The sequence below is a fragment of the Homo sapiens genome, chromosome 1 (genome assembly GCF_000001405.40).
Source record: "Homo sapiens chromosome 1, GRCh38.p14 Primary Assembly".
NCBI lineage: Eukaryota > Metazoa > Chordata > Mammalia > Primates > Hominidae > Homo > Homo sapiens.
Genome location: NC_000001.11, coordinates 48376503 through 48397584, shown reverse-complemented (window position 1 = coordinate 48397584; position 21082 = coordinate 48376503). Strand labels below are relative to the sequence as shown.

General features: G+C 40.0%; 1 protein-coding gene across 21 annotated transcripts in view; it reads left to right on the top strand.

The window, feature by feature from the left end:
- Positions 1-21082, top strand: part of SPATA6 (spermatogenesis associated 6) — a 210816-nt gene that overhangs the window by 74620 nt on the left and 115114 nt on the right. For 19 of the 21 annotated variants that reach the window (XM_047422913.1, XM_047422901.1, XM_006710699.4 and 16 more), the window contains 2 exons: positions 2231-2318; positions 12236-12276. In XM_047422913.1, coding sequence (XP_047278869.1) covers positions 2231-2318; positions 12236-12276 — 129 coding nt within the window. Of the gene's footprint in view, positions 1-2230; positions 2319-12235; positions 12277-18174; positions 18328-21082 lie in introns of those variants that run through there. The other 2 variants (XM_006710701.5, XM_047422922.1) reach the window with 2 other exon arrangements.

Below are 21082 nucleotides of genomic sequence, written 5' to 3'. Positions count from 1 at the left end.
GTCAATGTACATGGTATGAAAAGTGATCTTAAAGAATAAGGAAACAGTTTTAAGAAATCAATTAGCGTGCTTCCAAGATTCTTTCATCTTAAAGAATAAGGAAACAGTTTTAAGAAATCAATTAACATGCTTCCAAAAAAAACTGGTGCAATTATCCTAGACGAGTAAAACAGCCTTTTTATTTTCCATTTATGCAGAATAAGATCTTTTCTTTTTCTATTGTGGTAGAATATACGTAAGTTTACCATTTCGAATTTAAAGTGTACAATTCAGTTGTTTTAAGGATGTTCACAGTGTTATGCAGCTATCTGGTTCCAGAATTTCTTCATCTCCTAAATGGAAACTCTGTACTTATTAAGTATTCACTCTGCATTCCTTCCTTCCCATAGTCTTGGCAATCACTAATCTGCTTTCTGTCTCTATGAATTTGCCTATTCTACCATTTCATATAAATATAATTATACAACATTTGGCCTTTTGTGTCTGGCTTTTTTCACTTAGCACAGTGTTTTTGAGGTTCATCCATGTTGCATATATCAGTACTTGATTCCTTTTTATGGCTTAATTATATCCTGTTGTAAGACTATATACCACATTTTACCCATTGTGTGGGCTGTCTTTTAAAAAAATTTGTTTTTTTAAATTGTGGTTATATATATTATAAAATTTACCATTTTAACCATCTTTAAGTGTGTAGTTTAGAAACATTAAATATATTCATGTTGTTATACAACCATACCACCATCTATCTCTAGAACTTTTTTCATCTTGCTAAACTGAAACTCTGTGCCCATTAAGCAATAACTTTCCATTCCTGTCTCCCCCAACCCCTGACAACCACTACCATTCTACTATTTCTATGAATTTGACTACTCTTGGTACCTCATATTAAGTGTGATTATACATCATGTGTCCTATTTCGATTGGCTTGTTTAACTTAGTATAATATTCATAAAGGTTCATCTATGTTATAGCATATGTGAGAATTTCTTTCCCTTTTACCGTTGAATAATATTCTCTTATATGTATGTACTACATTTGTTTGTTCATTCTTCTCTTGATAGACACTTGGGTTGCTTCCATCTTTTGGATATTATGAGTAATGTTGCTGTGTCACAGTGTGTACAGTGTGAATAACGCTGCTGTAAACATAGGTGTACAAATATATTTTTGAGGCCCTGCTTTCAACTCTTTTGGGTATATACCTAGATGAAAAATTGCTGAGTCATATGGTAATTCTGTTTTAAATTGTTTGAGACCCTGACATAGTGTTTTTTATAGCAGGTGTACCATTTTGCACTGCACACCAATAAATTCCAAGTGTTCAAAGTTATTCACATCTTCTCCCACACTTTATTTTCATAATAGCCATCCTAATGGGTACGTCACTATGATTTTGTGGTATCTCAAAATTACAGTGAAGTAGTATCTCACTATGATTTTGATTTCTGTCTCCTTAATGATTAGGGTTGTTGAATTTTTTTCTTTTCATGTTCTTATTGGCCATTTGTATAACTTCTTTGGATAAATGTCTATTCAAGTTCATTTTTAAATCTATTTGTTTTTGTTATTGAGTTGTAGGGGTTCTTTATTCTGGATAATAACCCCTTATCAGATAAATGATTTGTAAATATTGTGGCTGATTCAATGGGTTGCCTTTTCATTCTGTTGATATTATTTTTTGATGCATGAAAATTTTAAATTTTGATCAATAGGAATTTTTTTTATACATTTGTATCATTCTTTTTACTTTTTGTTAGGAAATGTGGTTAACTATTATTATATTAAGCTATAGATCACTGAGCATGCTGGGCTCTGAAAGCAGCCAAATAAAGACTGTTTGAATTCAAAATGTGCATGCTAAGGAGCTAAGAAGCAAATGGCTAGACTTTTAAAAATATGGCAAAGTATATTGCTCTTTTTTTAACCTTGTGATGGAAAGCAAACTAGGCACTGGAGTAATAAACATTTCAATTCCAAGTCTGTTCATTTTAAAGTAGGCACATATATATAGAATTAAAAATTTTTGAAGTTAAATTTCAATTTTATTTTGCAACGAACAACAAAATACTTGAATAAACTCTTTGGAACATGTCTGACTCTCATGGGCACCATCATGTTTCCCTGATTATATATGCTCTCTGTACTCTAGTAGTTTTTCTGGTACCATGAGATTGAAAGTCTAGGAATGTTTAAACTCTCTTTTACATAAAAATCCTGCTTCCTCTAGGTTGATCCCCCAAGTCCCAGGGCTGATACTTTATTGGGATCTTCTGGAAGAGACTGTGAAAGAGATGGATGGTCAAGGGTGCACAATGGTAAGCTAGAAGTTGTCTTTATTCATTGCTGTAGTTGCCTGAGCTACAATCAAGCCTTTAATTTGGCATCAATTAACAAAAACAGAATCTTTGTTACATTATTGGATAATATTGTATAATGTAGCTTTTTACAACTTGTATGTTGTAAAGAGTAAAAAGTAACTATATACTCTCTAAGATATTAGGATTTCTGTGCTACTATAAATCATTTCCCACCTTGAGACTTAGAATATATATATTAACATGTTAAAAAATGTGATATATTCTAGTAAAAAATGACTTGATTAATTTACTTTTACTCAACATTTTATAAACTTGACTGTGGAACCCTTTTCTCACCAAGTAATTTTAATTACGTTGTTAGGAATGGTTTTTCATCTTTAGCCCTAGTAGTGCTATGGTTAGATAAGTTGCTTCTTAAGTTCAATATGAAGATAATTTTTATGAAGGTTAAATAGTATTGTATAATTAAGGGTATTGAGTGTTAATATCTGTAGACATTGGCTAGTGAGTTCAACAAGTATTCCCTAGCAGCCTTTAAAGTTAATTTACTACATACTGAGAAAGTCATAGAGGAAGAAAAATGAGATTGAGTGAAAAAAAATAAAATCATTAATAGAATCATTACATTGAGTGAGCTTCATCTCTATTTCTAACCTGTTGTGTGTAATCTCTTATTTTTTAATGATGAGATTAAACATTCTTTTCTGAAAAGGTGCAGAGTTTTTGCTTGCTTTTGTTTTTTAGCACAAGCAGGGAGATAGATGTGATAATCAACAGGTCTTTTATATCCACAATAGCAGATTATGTGAAATTAGAAACAGATGTTACATACTGTTTTCTCTCTTGGAAGAAGTTTATGGACATGGAAAATGAGCTTTAGGAACAAGCCACTGTAAAGTAACTTCAATATAGATGTTTCTTTGGAAGATTTTTTGTCAACACTTAAGCATCTGATTTTTCTTGACGATTACATATTTGCCAGCAGAACTGTTGTGGTTTCTAATAACTTTTAATCAAAGCAGTCAGTTGCCTATGTAGAGGTATAATCAGAGAGATCAATAATGAGTTGTTTTCTTTTAACTTTTTATTTTGATTTTGGCATAATTTCAGACTTATGGAAAAGTAATAGTAGTACAAAGGATTGCCATATAGCTTTCACTCAGAATCCATAACAATAATATTTGCTTTTTCTTTCTCTTTTTCTCTTTCCTCTGTCTGTATATGAGTCTGTGTATAGAATTTTTTGACAGGGATATTATTATGGACTGAATTTGTATGCCCTAAAACTTAATATGTTGAAGCCCTAGCCCCTAATATGGTGGTTTGGAGATGGAGGCTTTGGGAGTGATTAGGTTTAGATGAGGTCCTGAGAACAGGGCCTTCATGATGACATTATTGTCCTTACAAGCAAATATACCAGAGAGCTTGGGCTCTCCTTCTCTCGCTGCCATTTGAGGACCCAACTAGAAGGCAGCCATCTACAAGAGAGGAAGAGAGAACTTACCAGAACCTGACCATGCTGGCACCCTGATTTCTAATTTTCAGTCTTCAGAACTGTGAGAAATAAAATTCTGTTCTTTAAGCTACCCAGTCCATGATATTTTGTTATGGCAGCCTGAGCAGACTAATTCAGACAATATTTTATGTGATTAACGCCAGTTAATTAACAATATAGCAGATTAACAATGATATAATAATATTAACTAATCTATAAAGCTAAATCAGATTTTGCCAGTTGTCCTAATAATATCTTTATAGCAAAAGAAATATCATCATACATAGCATTCAGCTGCCATGCCTCTTTTGTTTTCTTTAATATGGATTAGTTCCTTAGTCTTTCATTGTGCTTAATGACATTGATAATTTTGAAGTGCATAAGCCAGCTATTTTGTAGAATGTTCCTCAGTTTGGGTTTGTTTGATTTTTCCTCATGATTAGATTCAGATTATTTATTTTCCTCCAGAATACAACAGAAGTGATGTGTTACTCTCAGTGCATCACACTAGGAGGTATGTGGTATTTCTCCACTACTGGGGATGTTAATTTTACTCATTTGATTAAGATGGATGTGCTGGTTTTCTCCATCAAAAAGGTGCTATTTCTGTCTTTTGTAATTGTGCAGAGAAATACTTTGAAACTATGTAATATCCTATTAAACCTCAACTTTGACTCCTTTCGCATATATTGATTACTGTTGCCTGAAACAATTTCTTACTGTGATTTTTGCCAAATAGTGATTTTTAAAAATTCTATTCTTCTTTGTACATTTAATAACTGGATTTCTAGAGCTTTTCCTTCTTGTTTTTCTGATCTTAATGTCCCCCCTCAACTTTTTTTTTTTACTATATTTTTTCCCCTGGCTGACAACTGAGCAGTACTTACCAACTTCTGGGTTCTCATCAACCATTTAAATACATATGGGAATTTCTTATGGTAGGATCTCTTACACATAGTGAATTTTCACTTTTGATTTTACTTTAATAGAAATTCTTCTTGAACATTTTCTTGCCAAATTATCTTGCCTAATATTTATTAAGTTTTTATAGGATGCCATTTTCACCAACATTTACTGCTTTAGTCCTCAAAATAATCAAGTGAAGATGGATTTAATTATATTTGAGAAAAATGGCAGCGGTTTAGAGAAGTTATGTGGCTTGATAGTTACAAATCTAGAATCCAGGTCTTCTAGCTTCTAGCTCCTTCTTTTCTACCAGTCTCATACTACTTTCTCTACTTTCATTAAGGTATATTTTTTAAAATAAAATTTTCAAGCACATTGTAGCTGTTACTGCCATGTTATATAATTCTAATTGTAATTTGTGCAGTCCTTTTGAAGAAACTCAATATCTCTTGTAATATGAGACTTTTTGTAAGCTTTATCTAGTTATTTGCATATTTGAAGAGGAAATCAAGTACATCCATCCTGGCCTCTTTTTACATTTTGCTTAGTAATTTAGGAAATATGTTAGACTCTGTCTCTCCTCTTAGAGGAAACTTCTTTTCTTCTCTTCATTTGAAGATTCTTTTATGAGTCTCATTTCTATATAAGATCGTAATATTTTATGAACTTCCATTAATCCCTTATCAGATGATTAACTGTCACAAAGTAAAATAGAAATAACATTTCAAATCCTAGTATGTCATATCTTGAGTAGACAACAGTAACTGGTAATGTTTTAATATTTTCTGAATAAAATAGCATGTAGTCATCATGGACAGCCTCATTAGTAAATACCTCATTAATTTGTTTGCTTTTAAACATGTCCCTCTTGTTTGAATTTCTTATGGATGAAGAAACCTGAGGTTTAAAGAAGGATAGTAAGTTGCGCCAAGTCATACACACAAGATTTGACCTAATTTTTTTTTCTTCCTACGTTTCTAAATGATTATGTCCATCTCAAGTTTCTTTGCCTTTAGGAAGTTTTTCCTGTTTGCCTTACCTTGAGAGATTACTCTCTGGTATAACTTTTTTATATTATAATTATTATACCATTCTGACTTAGTTTGTTCTTTATACTGCTGTTGTTCAACTTTGGTTATAACTTAACCAAAATAGATTATAAGTACTTCACAGCCATGGGCCATGACTTTCATCTCCTTGATTTCTTACATTTGAAATATAGTTTGTGACTAATTGGTGGTGAGGGTGATTAAATATGAACATTGGGAAACCTCAGATCAAAGTAATAGATTAATTTGTAGGAATAAAATTATAAACCTGTGCAAATCAGGGTAAGTTTATAAATGGTTTGTGGAATGCAGAAGCCATACGAGTGCTTTAACATACAGAAACTTTTAATATAATGCTAGCTTCCAGGAAATACATACTATTTCCAGAAATTATTACCTTAATTTTCAAAGTTAGCATATCCTTGTCCTTTTTTTTTTTGAGACAGGATCTTGCTTTGTTATCCAGGCTGGTGGGCGTGGTGTAACATGGCTCACTGCAACCTCGACTTCCCTGGTTCAAATGATCTTCCCACCTCAGCTTCCTTAGTAGCTGGGACTACAGGCATGCATGCACCACCATGCCCAACTAATTTTTTTTTTTTTTTTTTTTCTGTAGAGATTGGGTTTCACCATGTTGCCTAGGCTGGTCTTGAACTCCTGAACTCAGGAGATCCTCCTGTCTTGGTCTCCCAAAGTGCTGGGATTACAAGTATCAGGCACCGTGTCCGGATGTCCTTCTCACTTTTTTATTTTTTCAACTACTTGTGATCATGCTATATATTAGACTTGTACAGAAGAGAAGTTGGACTGTGATTTATTCTTATTTTTAATTTTTGAAAAGCATTTGAAGTAAATTGAATCTTACATTATGTGGAGAAGTTGACCTCGTGTAAAATGTATTAATATTTCAGCTGATTTCTGGTATGGTTCAGGGTACCTAGAAAATATCTTGTGCCATAAAAAATGCTGAATACAGACTATTATATGTCTTTATTTATTTTCTGGATTAGGTGGTTTGGGAAAGTAGAATGTAGAACCATAGAATGCTTTTGAGTGATATGTGTGAGTGAGAAAGTAGAATTTTATGGTTCTGATTTTCTGTTCTAAAAATTGATACATAATATTTTACATATTTATTGGGTACATGTGATATTTTGTTACATTGTGTGGAATGTGTGATGATCAATTAAGAGTGGTTAAATTATCTACCATTTTGTGTATTTGTCATTTCTTTATGTTGGGAACAATTTAAGTCCTGTCTTCCAGCTACTTTGAAATATATAATACAATGTTGTTAACAATAGTTACTATGCTCTCCTTTGACAACAGAGTATACCTGTTTTCTAATCTTATGTTTGTACCTGTTAAGCTACCGCTCTTCATCGTCCACCCCTACCAACCCATCCTTCCCAGCCTCTAGTATCGATTATTCTACTTTCTATGAGAGAATATTTTTAGCTTCCACATATGAGAACATGCAATATTTGTCTTTGTATGCCTGATTTATTTCACTTAAAATAATGACCCCCCAGTTCCATTCATGTTGCTGCAAATGACATGATATCATTAATTTTATGCCCTAATTACTTTATTATTCCATTGTGTATATACACAACATTTTCTTTATCCATTCATCTATTGATGAACAGTTAGGTTGATTCCATGTTTTGGCGACTGTGAATAGTGCTGCAATATCTCTTCAATATACTAATTTCCTTTCCTTTGGATGGATACCCAGTACTGAGATTGCTGATTGTGTGGTAGTTGTATTTTTAGTTTTACATTCAAGTTTATTATTGGTATGTGTGGTTTTGTTCCTGCCATATTGTTATTTTCTGGTGTTTTTCTATATTCTTTGGTCCTTTCTTTTTCTCTTATTGTTTGTCATTGTGGTTTGGTGGTTATCTGTGGTTGTACCGTGAATCTTTTCTCTTTCTCATTTGTGTGTTTGCTTTATTGTTGAGTTTTGTATTTTCGTGTGTTTTCAAGATGGTAAAGGTCATTCTTTTGCTTTCAGGTTTAGAGTTCCCTTGATCACATCTTGTAGGGCTGGCTTACTGGTGATGAATTCCCTTAGCTTTTACTTACCTGGGAAATACTTTATTTTTCCTAAATTTATGAAGGATTTTTTTTCTGGATATATTAATAGTGAGTGTCCTTGACTGGCAGGTTTTTTTCTTTCAGCATTTTGAATTTATCATCCCATTCCTGGTCTGTAAGGTTTCTATTTAGGAATCTGCTGTTAGTCTAATGGGGGTTTCTTTATAGGTGATTAGTCACTTTTCTCTTGTTCAGGATTCTTTTTTTGTCATTGACTTTAGACATTTTGGCTATAATATTCCATGGGAAAGACTTTTTGCATTGTATCTGCTTAGGGATTACTGGTCCCCCTGCATCTGAATGTCTAGTCTCTTGATAGACTTCAGAAATTTTTGTTTATTATTTCATTAAATAGTTTTTGGAACTCTTATATTCTCTTCCTTTGGGGATACAGATGATTTGTATATTTGGTCGCTTTATTGTGTCCCATAGATCACAAAGGTTTTGTTCATTTTTTATTTCTTATTTTTGCCTGACTGGGTTATTTCAAAATACCTATCTCCAAGTTCTGACATCTGGTTCTTATGCTTGGTTTAGTCTATTGTTGATGCTTTCAAACGTATTTTGTAGGCCAGGCACGATGGCTTATGCCTGTAATCCCAGCACTTTGGGAGGCCGAGGCAGGCAGATCACTTGAGGCCAGGACTTCGAGACCAGCCTGGCCAACATGGTGAAACCCCATCTCTACTAAAAATAGCTACTTGGGAGGCTGAGGAAGGAGAGCTGCTTGAACCCAGGAGACAGAGATTGCAATGAGCAAAGATCACACCATTGTACTCCAGCCTGGGCAAGAAGAGCGAAACTCTGTCTCAAAAAAAATAAAAAATAAAAATAAAAATTAGGTGGGTGTGGTGGCACATGCCTCTAATCCCAGCTACTCTGGAGACTGAGGCAGGAGAAGCGCTTGAACCCAGGAGGCGGAGGTTGCAGTGAGCCAAAATCGTGCCACTGCACTCCAGCCTGGGTGGCAGAGTGAGACCCTATCTCAAAAAAAAAAAAAAATCAAATGTATTTTGTAGTTCAGTCAATTAATTCATCTCCAGAATTTCTGTTTGGTTCTTTTTTTTGTGATATATATCTCCTTCGTAAAAGTTTCATTCACGTCCTGCATTATTTTTCTGATTCTTTTATATTGTTTTTCAGAATGCCTTGTATCTCACTGAGTGTCTTTAGAATCAATAATTTAAATTCTTTTTCTGAGATTTCATGACTTTGTTTTTGATTGGGATCTGTTTCTGGAGGATTATTTTGTTCCTTTGGAGGTGTCATATTTTCTTGCTTTTCATTTTTTCTTTGTCCTTACATTGATATCTGAACATCTGTTATATCAGTTGTTTGTTCCAATTTTTTGAATTTGCTTTTGTTTTGGGGGGACTTTTTCCTGCAGATGAATCCTCATTACTGGTTGGGTAGGGCACTTTGGCCTTTTTCTGGGTGCATGCAGTGGTGTAGTCTCTGTGTGATTTTTTTTTTGTTTATAAGCAGCATCCGTGGTATCTGAGACTTGCTCATTGGCTTAGTGTGCAATTACTAGTGGAGGCTGTGTTCTAGTTTTGCTGAGGACTGGGACACTAGGTAGTCTAGTCTTTGGGTCGCAGTGGTGGCAGTATTGAGCTGACCATGCCTGTCCTTGGGCTCCAGAGTGGTGTGCACTGGCAGCAATTTTAGCTGGTCCTGGTGGACTGATTCATGGGCCTCTAGTTGGCCTACTCAGATGCTGGTAGTAGCCATCATGGGCCAGGCAGATGGACAGGTTCTCAAGCCTCTGGGTAGCCAGTGTGGCATGGGTGATGACCGTGACAGTGGCAGGATGACCCTCTGGGTCCCAAGCGGTGTGCATTGTTTTTGACAGTGGCTGAGATCGTCTAGGTGTGCCAGTCCCCAGGCTTGAAGGTGTTGTATACAGGTAAATGCCAGCTCTGGTGGTAGTGGCTATGAGTGTAGGCCCAATCTCATTCCCTGGGGAGGAGCGTTCAGGTGCCAGTAGTGGTGGACTGGGCTGGGCAGTCTTCTGGCCCTCAAACTATATGGTCTGGCATGGGAGGAGGAGGGGCAGAGTCAGGCCTGTCTTGCTTGCCTCAGGCTCCCTGATGATGTGAACAAGTGCTGGCTGTGGTAGGCAGGGGCAGAGTGGTCGCCAGGCCACTGGTGGGATGCTTGGATTGTGGAAGGTAGTATCTGTACTTCTGCCCTGCTACTTGGGGCTGGAGATGATGCTGCCATCTGTGATGGCACCCTAGCTGGCAGGTGGGGAGCATGTATACCACTCGTACCTCAGCCCAGTGGCACTTATGCCTCAGCCCCAGTGCTGCTGGGCTTCAGGATAGTGCACAGTCTTTTGGGGGAATGGTTCCAGAATGGCATCTCGTTTGTGCTGCAGTCCCAAAGGCTCAGTCATGTCTCTGCCCTTGATATGGTTTGGCTGTGCCCCCACCCAAATCTCATCTTGAATTCCCATGTGTTGTGGGAGGAGCCTGGTGGGAGGCAATTGAATCATGGGGGCAAGTCTTTCCCATGCTGTTCTCATGAGAGTGAGTAAGTCTCACGAGATCTAATGATTTTAAAAAGAGGAGTTCCCCTGCACAAGTTCTCTCTCTTTGCCTGCTGCCATCCATGTAAGACGTGACTTGCTCTTCCTTGCCTTCTGCCATGATTGTGAGGCTTCCCCAGCTACGTGGAACTGTAAGTCCAATTAAACTGCTTTCTTTTGTAAATTGCCCATTCTCAGGTATGTCTTTATCGGCAGTGTAAAAATGGACTAATACAGCCCTACATCCAGTAGCTTGTGACAGCTTGTTTCTAAGTCCTGGGGGCAGCCCTGCTGCCACTGGGCTCCAGGACAGCTCACAGTCTGTAGGGGAGGGAGTTCTAAAGTGGTGCCTTGCCATAGCTACTTAAGTGTCAGGGAACATGAAGGACCCAGGGGAAGTGTTCTCTCTTGGGCAGTGCATGGTACAATCTCCCGGCAGCTCCTTGTGTTAGTTTCAGGGCTCACGAGGGTTCAGGAGCTCTTCAGTGGCCTGGTATCGTAGGGATCCATGGTGATAATGTGGACAGCTGAGAGTCTCTCACTTACCCTTTCTGTGTATTGAGAAGTATCTCTTGGGTGCCAGTCCTCACTGTACAGGCCATCTTGCTTCCTTCTCCTTCCTTGCTTTAGGTGTTGTCTGCCAATTTCCTTTTGAATTCCAGTATTCTCTATTGGCTGATCTATTCAATGTATGATTATCTATCTGCTCTTTTGGTTTTTCTTAGTGGAGGAAGGGAGTACAAAATGCCCCTAGTCAACTATCTTGAAGCTGCAAACTGATTGTCTCTGGTTCTTATTTTCTTTTCTGTCAGTGTAACAGATATTATAAGTTGTTATAATAAAAGTTGATTCTTGAAAGCTTATTCCTTTAAGTAATGAGTAAAGCTCCAAATCTACATGTAGAATGTAGTGGTTATTATCTTACGGATAAATTTAGAATTAGTTTTAAAATCCACTATGTGATAGATACTTTTCTGGGGATTTTCACGAAGTGTATCATGTTATCATCACTCTGACTCTCTGATATAAGGTAGGCATTGTTTTCATACTCTTAAAAATGAGGCATGAAACAGATCAATTGTCTTTATATAGTTGGACCAGAATACTATGTTTAATAAGTGGCAGAATTTGAAATTGAACCCCTGCTTGTTTGAGTTTACATTTGATAGTAATGATGTTGTTGTTGATGATGGTATTAGTAATAATAGTTGATTTCTATTTTAGTGCCTTACGTGTAAGATCTTATATAATCTTTAAAACAATATTATGAAAGAGGCACATCAGACATATTAGGAATCTGAGACTTAGAGAGATTAAGTTATATGCCCAAGGTGCTTGGGCCTGGAATGTATAATGCAGATTTATTTGTCAACAAGATCTATAAACTACTGTATGCCACCACCCTCTAAAGCTGGTCCTGTTTCTTTACACCTGAATCTAGAATGGAGTATAAGAATAGGAAACATATAGTTTGACAATATCTGTCAAATCTGTGAATACAAATTATGTTTCATCATAAATTGATTATCAACTAAACCCTATTCATTTCATAGACACAAATTGGTTTATCGACTAAAAGTTACTCCTTTCTGTATTCAGATATTTCCTGCTATTTTCAAATGAAAATAGTATTTGTGAAATCATTTAATTGCTGAAGAACTAATACAAATTTTAACTAATGGATTATTATCCTTTCTGATGTAACACTGTTGAAGGATTTTGAAGTATCTCTGAAATATTCTGAGTGAATTATAATTGTAGAAACAATGATAGTATTAAAAATCAAAGATGAAACCAAATTTAAACTTTAATTGTTTTGTACTTCCTTTTTCAGATCATTCTCATCTTGGCTGCTGCCGACCCAAGGATTATAAGGTGTGTAGAATGAATTGTAGAATAATAATTGTTCTGGCTTTCAGACAACAACATGAGTCTATTTCATATATATGTATATCAGATAGGGATTATCAAATTCATTTAGTAAAAAATGTAAAAACAATAATTGTCATATAATGTTATTTTGGTTACTTTGTCAGGCAGTACATTTAATGTCTTTCTACAAGTATTTTTTGGCTTTTGGTTATTCATTTGTATTAATTATTGAATATGTTAGTCTATGTTTATGTGTGTGCATGAGAGAGAGAAATCAGTTGTTATATTCAGTAATACCTTACATGGTATTATTTCCAAATTTCAGTCATTCATAGAGCACCCTCATAATTTTTGCAGGCATATGTATGTATAACTTTTGTAGTATTTGCATATATTTTATGCTCTTTTCCTTAAATTCACTTTCTTTCTGTTTGTTTACTCACTGTGATAAATGAAAATCCAGTATCACATGCTTTACATGTATGACAGCCTTGAAAATACAGTGAAAATAAAGCAATGTTTCTAAATTTTGGCTAGATACTGTTTTGCTAAAGGCTCTGAGACATGCTCTCTGTTTCTTAAAATGAGAAGTAATGGTAGAGAGGTGTAAAAGATATACCAATAGCTAACTGAGCATTTCTTATTGAAAGAGAATTGAAAATATATTTTTTCTGGTGATTCAGAATTATTTCATGTATGTTCATGTGCCATGTAAAATCTGTATATCTTCTAAAATCATTTTGGGTACCATTATTATTTGCTCTATCACTTGTAGTCCATGTCCTACATTTTGAGAAGAACTGTCTCATAGCTTATCTTTTCTGTCCCTAAGTGAAAGTATCTTGATAGTAAGTGTTATTATATGTGGGAAAACAAAAGAAAAACCCCTCTCCCTCTCCCTCTCCCTCTCCCTCTCCCTCTCCCTCTCCCTCTCCCTCTCCCTCTCCCTCTCCCTCTCCCTGTCCCTGTCCCTGTCCCTGTCCCTCCACGGTCTCCCTCTGATGCCGAGCCAAGGCTGGACGGTACTGCTGCCATCTCGGCTCACTGCAACCTCCCTGCCTGATTCTCCTGCCTCAGCCTGCCGAGTGCCTGCGATTGCAGGCGCGCACCGCCACGCCTGACTGGTTTTCGTTTTTTTTTGGTGGAGACGGGGTTTCGCTGTGTTGGCCGGGCTGGTCTCCAGCTCCTAGCCACGAGTGATCCGCCAGCCTCGGCCTCCCGAGGTGCCGGGATTGCAGATGGAGTCTCGTTCACTCAGTGCTCAATGGTGCCCAGGCTGGAGTGCAGTGGCGTGATCTCCGCTCGCTGCAACCACCTCCCAGCCGCCTGCCTTGGCCTCCCGGAGAGCCGAGATTGCAGCCTCTGCCCGGCCGCCACCCCGTCTGGGAAGTGAGGAGCGTCTCTGCTTGGCCACCCATCGTCTGGGATGTGAGGAGCCCCTCTGCCTGGCTGCCCAGTCTGGAAAGTGAGGAGCGTCTCTGCCTGGCCGCCATCCCATCTGGGAAGCGAGGAGCGCCTCTTCCCCGCCGCCATCCCATCTAGGAAGTGAGGAGCGTCTCTGCCCGGCCGCCCATCGTCTGAGATGTGGGGAGCACCTCTGCCCCGCCGCCCTGTCTGGGATGTGAGGAGCGCCTCTGCTGGGCCGCAGCCCTGTCTGGGAGGTGGGGAGCGTCTCTGCCCGGCCGCTCCGTCTGAGAAGTGAGGAAACCCTCTGCCTGGCAACCGCCCCGTCTGAGAAGTGAGGAGCCCCTCCGTCCGGCAACCACCCCGTCTGGGAAGTGAGGAGCGTCTCCGCCCAGCAGCCACCCCGTCCGGGAGGGAGGTGGGGGGGGTCAGCCCCCCGCCGGCCAGCCGCCCCGTCCGGGAGGTGAGGGGCTCCTCTGCCCGGCCGCCCCTACTGGGAAGTGAGGAGCCCCTCTGCCTGGCCAGCCGCCCCATCCGGGAGGGAGGTGGCGGGGGGGCGGTCGGCCAGCCGCCCCGTCCGGGAGGGAGGTGGGGGGGTCAGCCCCCCGCCCGGCCAGCCGCCCCGTCCGGGAGGTGAGGGGCTCCTCTGCCCGGCCGCCCCTACTGGGAAGTGAGGAGCCCCTCTGCCCGGCCAGACGCCCCGTCCAGGAGGGAGGTGGGGGGGTCAGCCCCCCGCCCGGCCAGCCGCCCAGTCCGGGAGGGAGGTGGGGGGTCAGCCCCCCGCCCGGCCAGCCGCCCCGTCTGGGAGGGAGGTGGGGGGATCAGCCCCCCGCCTGGCCAGCCGCCCCATCCGGGAGGTGAGGGGCGCCTCTGCCCGGCCGCCCCTACTGGGAAGTGAGGAGCCCCTCTGCCCGGCCAGCCGCCCCGCCCGGGAGGGAGGTGGGGGGGTCATCCCCCCACCTGGCCAGCCGCCCCATCCGGGAGGGAGGTGGGGGGGTCAGCCCCCCGCCCGGCCAGCCGCCCCGTCCGGGAGGGGGGAGGGGGGGTCAGCCCCCTGCCCGGCCAGCCGCCCCGTCCGGGAGGGAGGTGGGGGGGGTCAGCCCCCCGCCTGGCCAGCCGCCCCGTCCGGGAGGGAGGTGGGGGGATCAGCCCCCCGCCTGGCCAGTCGCCCCGTCCGGGAGGTGAGGGGCGCCTCTGCCCGGCCGCCCCTACTGGAAAGTGAGGAGCCCCTCTGCCCGGCCAGCCGCCCCGTCCGGGAGGGAGGCGGGGGGGGGGGGGTCGGCCAGCCGCCCCGTCCGGGAGGGAGGTGGGGGGGGTCAGCCCCCCTTCCGGCCGGCCGCCCCGTCCGGGAGGTGAGGGGCGCCTCTGCCCGGCCGCCCCTACTGGGAAGTGAGGACCCCTCTGCCCGGCCAGCCGCCCCGTCCGGGAGGGAGGTGGGGGGGACAGCCCCCCGCCCAGCCAGCCGCCCTATCCAGGAGGTGAGGGGTGCCTCTGCCCGGCCGCCCCTACTGGGAAGTGAGGAGCCCCTCTGCCTGGCCAGCCGCCCCGTCCGGGAGGGTGGTGGGGGGGTCAGCCCCCCGCCCGGCCAGCCGCCCCATCCGGGAGGTGAGGGGCGCTTCTGCCCGGCCGCCCCTACTGGGAAGTGAGGAGCCCCTCTGCCCGGCCACGACCCCGTCTGGGAGGTGTGCCCAGCGGCTCACTGGGGATGGGCCATGATGACAATGGCGGTTTTGTGGAATAGAAAGGCGGGAAGGGTGGGGAAAAAATTGAGAAATCGGATGGTTGCCGGGTCTGTGTGGATAGAAGTAGACATGGGAGACTTTTCATTTTGTTCTGTACTAAGAAAAATTCTTCTGCCTTGGGATCCTGTTGATCTGTGACCTTATCCCCAACCCTGTGCTCTCTGAAACATGTGCTGTGTCCACTCAGGGTTAAATGGATTAAGGGCGGTGCAAGATGTGCTTTGTTAAACAGATGCTTGAAGGCAGCATGCTCGTTAAGAGTCATCACCACTCCCTAATCTTAAGTACCCAGGGACACAAACACTGCGGAAGGCCAAGGCCGCAGGGTCCTCTGCCTAGGAAAACCAGAGACCTTTGTTCACTTGTTTATCTGCTGACCTTCCCTCCACTATTGTCCTATGACCCTGCTAAATCCCCCTCTGCGAGAAACACCCAAGAATGATCAATAAAAAATAAATAAATTAATTAAAAAAAAAAAGAAAAAAAATTTAACTATTCATATAAAAAAAAAAAAAAAGAAAAACCATAGCTTTTCTTAAAATATCATTGTTTATGTACTTACTTAAACTATTTATTTTCTTAAACGATTTTGTGCTACTATTAAACTATTTTGTGCTACTGGTACTGAATACCACAATACTTTGCCATACTTTAACTATGATAAAAGAAGTATAGCACAATTAAATAATCAATCAAGGCACTGTTTAGGGACACAGATCTACCAGTGACAGAATCATCTAGGTGAAGCTTTATAAATATTTATTCTAAGCCTACTAAATTGAAATTGCTGAGTATGGAGACTGGAATTTTCTATTTTTACCAAGTTTCTGGGTGATTCTTATGCATCTCTTTTGCCATCTATCTAAGGATTCATAACTGAGAGCCACTAGTATAGACTATGAATATAACACTTATATAGATAGGGCTCTTCCTGTATAGCAGGAGTCCCCAACCCAGGCCACAGACGAGTAGTTGTCTGTGGCCTGTTAGGAACTGGGCCACACCACAGGAGGTGAGTGGCAGGTGAGTGAGCATTATGGCCTGAGCTCCACCTCCTGTCAGATCAGTGGCAGCATTAGATTCTCATAGGAGCACGAACCCTACTGTGCTGTGCATATGAGGGATCTAGGTTGTGTGCTCCTTGTGAGAATCTAACTAATGCCTGATGATCTGAGGTGGAACAGTTTCATTCTGAAACCAGACATCCTCCCCGCCCCCCACCAGTTCGTGGAAAAATTGTCTTCCACAAAACTGGTTCCTGGTACTGAAAAGGTTGGGGACTGCTGCTGTATAGTGTTTATATATAGAGTTGTTCCTTTTTTAAGGCCCTCACTAGAGGAGAGGAGGCCTGGAATAATTAACTTAGTCCAGTCTCATCCTAACATTTAAAATTTATGCAAACACATACACATGCACATTGGTATTTGTTCTACACACAAATGTACACAGTATGGCAAGGACCTATTGATCTTGCTTATTGATAATAATTGGTAGTACCTAGCATATTATCTGACATATAGTAGGAATTCCTAACATATGCATATTATGTGAGTGGACTATTAAGGGAAAACAAGTAAACCAAATCTATACAAATATAGAATGAAGAGCAAGTACTAATCTTTATCCTAAGGTGGCTATAATCCTGCTATAAGTTGGCTGGTCCATTTAAAGTCAGGTATTAAGAGCCCTCTTTTCCAAATGAATTCCACCAAAAACTGCATTTCAACCCCTTTAATTCCTTTCCACTCTCATCGCTGGATTCCTTAATATCAGGGCTTCCCTTAGGGGATAGTAGGTGGTAAGTTCACAGGATTATTTTTGTATTCAAGAGGTAGATTGTCATATAAATATATCTGCAGCATTGAACATGAAAATAAAAAAGGATTATTTTCATGTAGGTACATAGTAGTTAGTTAATAAATATTCAAGTAATAGAACACTTTAGGACTTCTATATGGAAAAGAGCCATGAAGCCAGGAGTGCTCACAGAACATTTTCTAGAAAAGTAGGACCTTGCATGAGTTCTTTGAATGAATGTACTTTGCATAGGCAAGAGAATTCTTTCCCGAGATTCTCACTTTTTCTTTTTTCTCCAGCTTTATTAAGGTATAATTGACAAAAGTTTTATGTACTTATGGTACAACATGATGTTTTCATATATGTATATGTTGTGGAATGATTAAATTAAGCTACTTAATGTATCTATTACTTCACATACTTATTTGTTGTGGTGAGTTTTATTTTCACAATTTTTTAAGGCTATCATACACGTAAAGCATATGATACTGCAATTTCATTTATCATGGTGAGTTTTATTTCCATTGTATTTTTAAAGGCTATCATGCATGTAAAGCGTATGATACTGGATTTTCATTTATTATGTCACCATGATAAATAAATAAAGAAGAGAAAGTGGCTTTAAGGAAAAGAGCATAAGATATATGCAAATACTGCAAAGATTATGAGGGTGCTCTGTGAATGACTGAAGTTTGGAAATACTACCATATAAGGTATTACTGAATGTAACAACTGATTTTCTCTGCTAAGACAAATCTGTCTTAGCAATTTTCAAGTATATGATATATCATTAGTTATAGTCATCATGCTGTAAAATAGATCTCCAGAATTTTTTCATCCTGTCTACTTGAAACTTTGTACCCTTTGACCAACATCTCTGCATTCTGCCCACCATACCCCAATGTCCCCCTGGCAACCACCATTCTGTTTTCTGCTTCTATGAGTTTGACTTTTTTAGATTCTACATGTGATATTGTTTGGCTCTGTGTCCCCACCCAAATCTCATCTCGAATTGTAATCCCCACGTGTCAAGAGATGGACAATTCCCACCTGTCGAGAGAGAGAGGTGACTGGATCATGAAGGCAATTTCCCCCTTGCTGTTTCATGATAGTGAGTTCTCACGAGTTCTGATGGTTTGATAAGCAGTTTTCCCCACTGTTGCTTGCTCTCTCTTGCCTGCCACCATGTAAGATGTGCCTGTTTCTCCTTCTGCCATGATTGTAAGTTTCCTGAGACCTCCCCAACCATGCAGAACTGTGAGTCAATTAAACCTCTTTTCTTTAAAAATTACCAGTCTTGGGTATGTCTTTATAGCAGTGTGAAAACAGACTAATGTAACATGTAAGCATAATCATGTGACATTTGTCTTTCTGTGCCTATCTTATTTAACTTAACATTATGTCTTCCAGGTTTATGTTGTTGTATAATAAATGACACGACTTTATTCTTTTTAAAGGCTGAATAGTATACCATTGTATGTGTGTGCATATACTACATTTTCTTTATCCATTTATCAATTGATAGGCAATTAGGTTGATTCCATATGAGCTTACCACTTGCTTGAAATCCCTTGTGATATGGTTTGGCTGTGTCCCCAGCCAAATCTCAAATTGAATTGCATCTCCCAGAATTCCCACATGTTGTGGGAGGTACCCAGGGGGAGATGATTGAACTGTAAGCGTCTATCTTTCCCATGTTATTCTCATGACAGTGAATAAGTCTCATGAGATCTGATGGGTTTATCAGGGCTTTCCGCTTTTGCTTCTTCCTCATTTTTCTCTTTCCACCATCATGTAAGAAGTGCCTTTCACCTCCCACCATGATTCTGAGGCCTCCCCAGCCGTGTGGAACTGTAAGTCCAATTAAACCTCTTTTTCTTCCCAGTCTTGTGTATGTCTTTATCAGCAGTGAGAAAACAGACTAATACACTTAGCTAAATACAAATAAAAGCCAGCACAAAGTACTGTTCTTCCAATTTATTTCCCTAGAGATATAAGCTTGGAAACCATGTGATCTGCCTTTCAAGCTATTGTAGGCTATAGTTTTATTAAATATTTTGCCACTGCATTACAGACATCTTAAATTTTCTATTCAAAAATAGCTGTTCCCCATGCTGCCTGCCCCCAACTGATAAGCCAGTGCATATATTGATTTCTGATAAGGCTAGTACATTAAGATAACAACTGGTAAACTCATTGGGGTAATGCTATTTGATATACCAGTAAGCCTCCAACTGTTGGAAACTTAATATAATAGAAATTTAGTTTTTAATTACATAACAGTTAAATTGAGGATACTTTCGATCTGTATGCTATTTTCTCCATGCTGTGACCCATCTTACGGCTTTGGCTCACCCTGAGGCCTTGGTGTCTTCTTCACATGGTGGAAGATGATGGAAAATATGGAGAAGCCAAATCTGTTTCTTAAATGCCTGGGCCTGGGATTGACACACCATTCTTGCCTACTTTCTATTGCCAATAACTAATCACATTCTCTTACCTAGATGTAAAGGTTGCTTCTTAGCAACAATTTTACTCTGGAAGAGGGAAAGCTGAATTGTGGGCAGCCAGCAATTTCTATTACACCTATAATACTCTGTTCCGTTCCCCTGCTAATATCTCTTTATCTCTTTAAAAAAGATTATGTGACTGACACTATTATGCTAGAAATAGAAAATTAGCAAAACTAGAAATCGTCTCTGCACTCATGGGTATTTCATGGTAGTGAAGGAAGAAGACATACTAAGAAAATCACAAACATTCATATGTACTTGGAACTGTGATACATATCATGGAGGACATACATAATGCTTTGACATTATGTACTGAGATGGTTTGACCTGGTTGAGGAGAATGGAAAAGGTATTTTGAGGATGTTGAGCTTTGAAGATGAATAGGAGTTTACGCTATGAAAAGGGGAGGGAAGAGCATCTGCAATAGAAAAGGGAAAATAGCATTCATTAAGGTTCAGTGGCTAAGCAACTAAAATATTGGTGTTGCTGGAAGTAAAGACATGAATAGGTACATGGTGTAAATTGAGCCTGTAGAAGCAGGTAGGGATTAAATCTTTTAGGACATATTGGAGATTTTGGTAATTATCCTAAGTACAATGGGAGCAAATGAAATGATTTTAAATAGCAAGGTGACATGGCGAGATTTATACTTTGAAAATATCACTCTGAATTGCAGTATGGAAAATGAATGGACTGAGAAAAGAGTGGATGCTGGTAGCCAAGTTAGTAGGCCATTGAATAGTCAAGGTGAGAAGTGATAGGTTAGATTGGGGTGGTAGTAATGGAGGGTGATAGCCGTAGAGATATTAGACAGATATTTAGAATTAATGCTGGAAAAGTAGACCTGAAAAATGAAAAGAAGTGGTGTGTGATGATGTTTTGGTCAGCGATGGACCACAAATATGGCAGTCGTTTTGTAAGATTATAATGTCTATTTTTGTTGTACTTTTTCTATGTTTAGGTCTGATATACAAATCCTTATCATTCTGTTAAAATTGCTTACAGCATTCAGTACAGTAACAAGTTGTACAGGTTTGTAGCCTAGGTACAATAGGCTATACCATTATAGCCTAGGTATGTTGTAGACTATACCATCTAGATTTATGTAAGTACACTCTATGATGTTTGCATGGTGACAAAATCGCCTAATGACGTATTTCTCAGAAGGTATCGCCATTGTTAAGCAATGCATACTTAACAATGAGAACACATGACTGAATGTGTTCTCATAGAGAAAAATTTGATGTTTTGAAGATGTTCTCTACCTAGAGTAATTTAAAAATTAGCAAGATCCCAGTAAAAATACCTCTAGGCTTTTTTTTTTTTTAAATTCCAGGAGCTAGGCAAAAATAG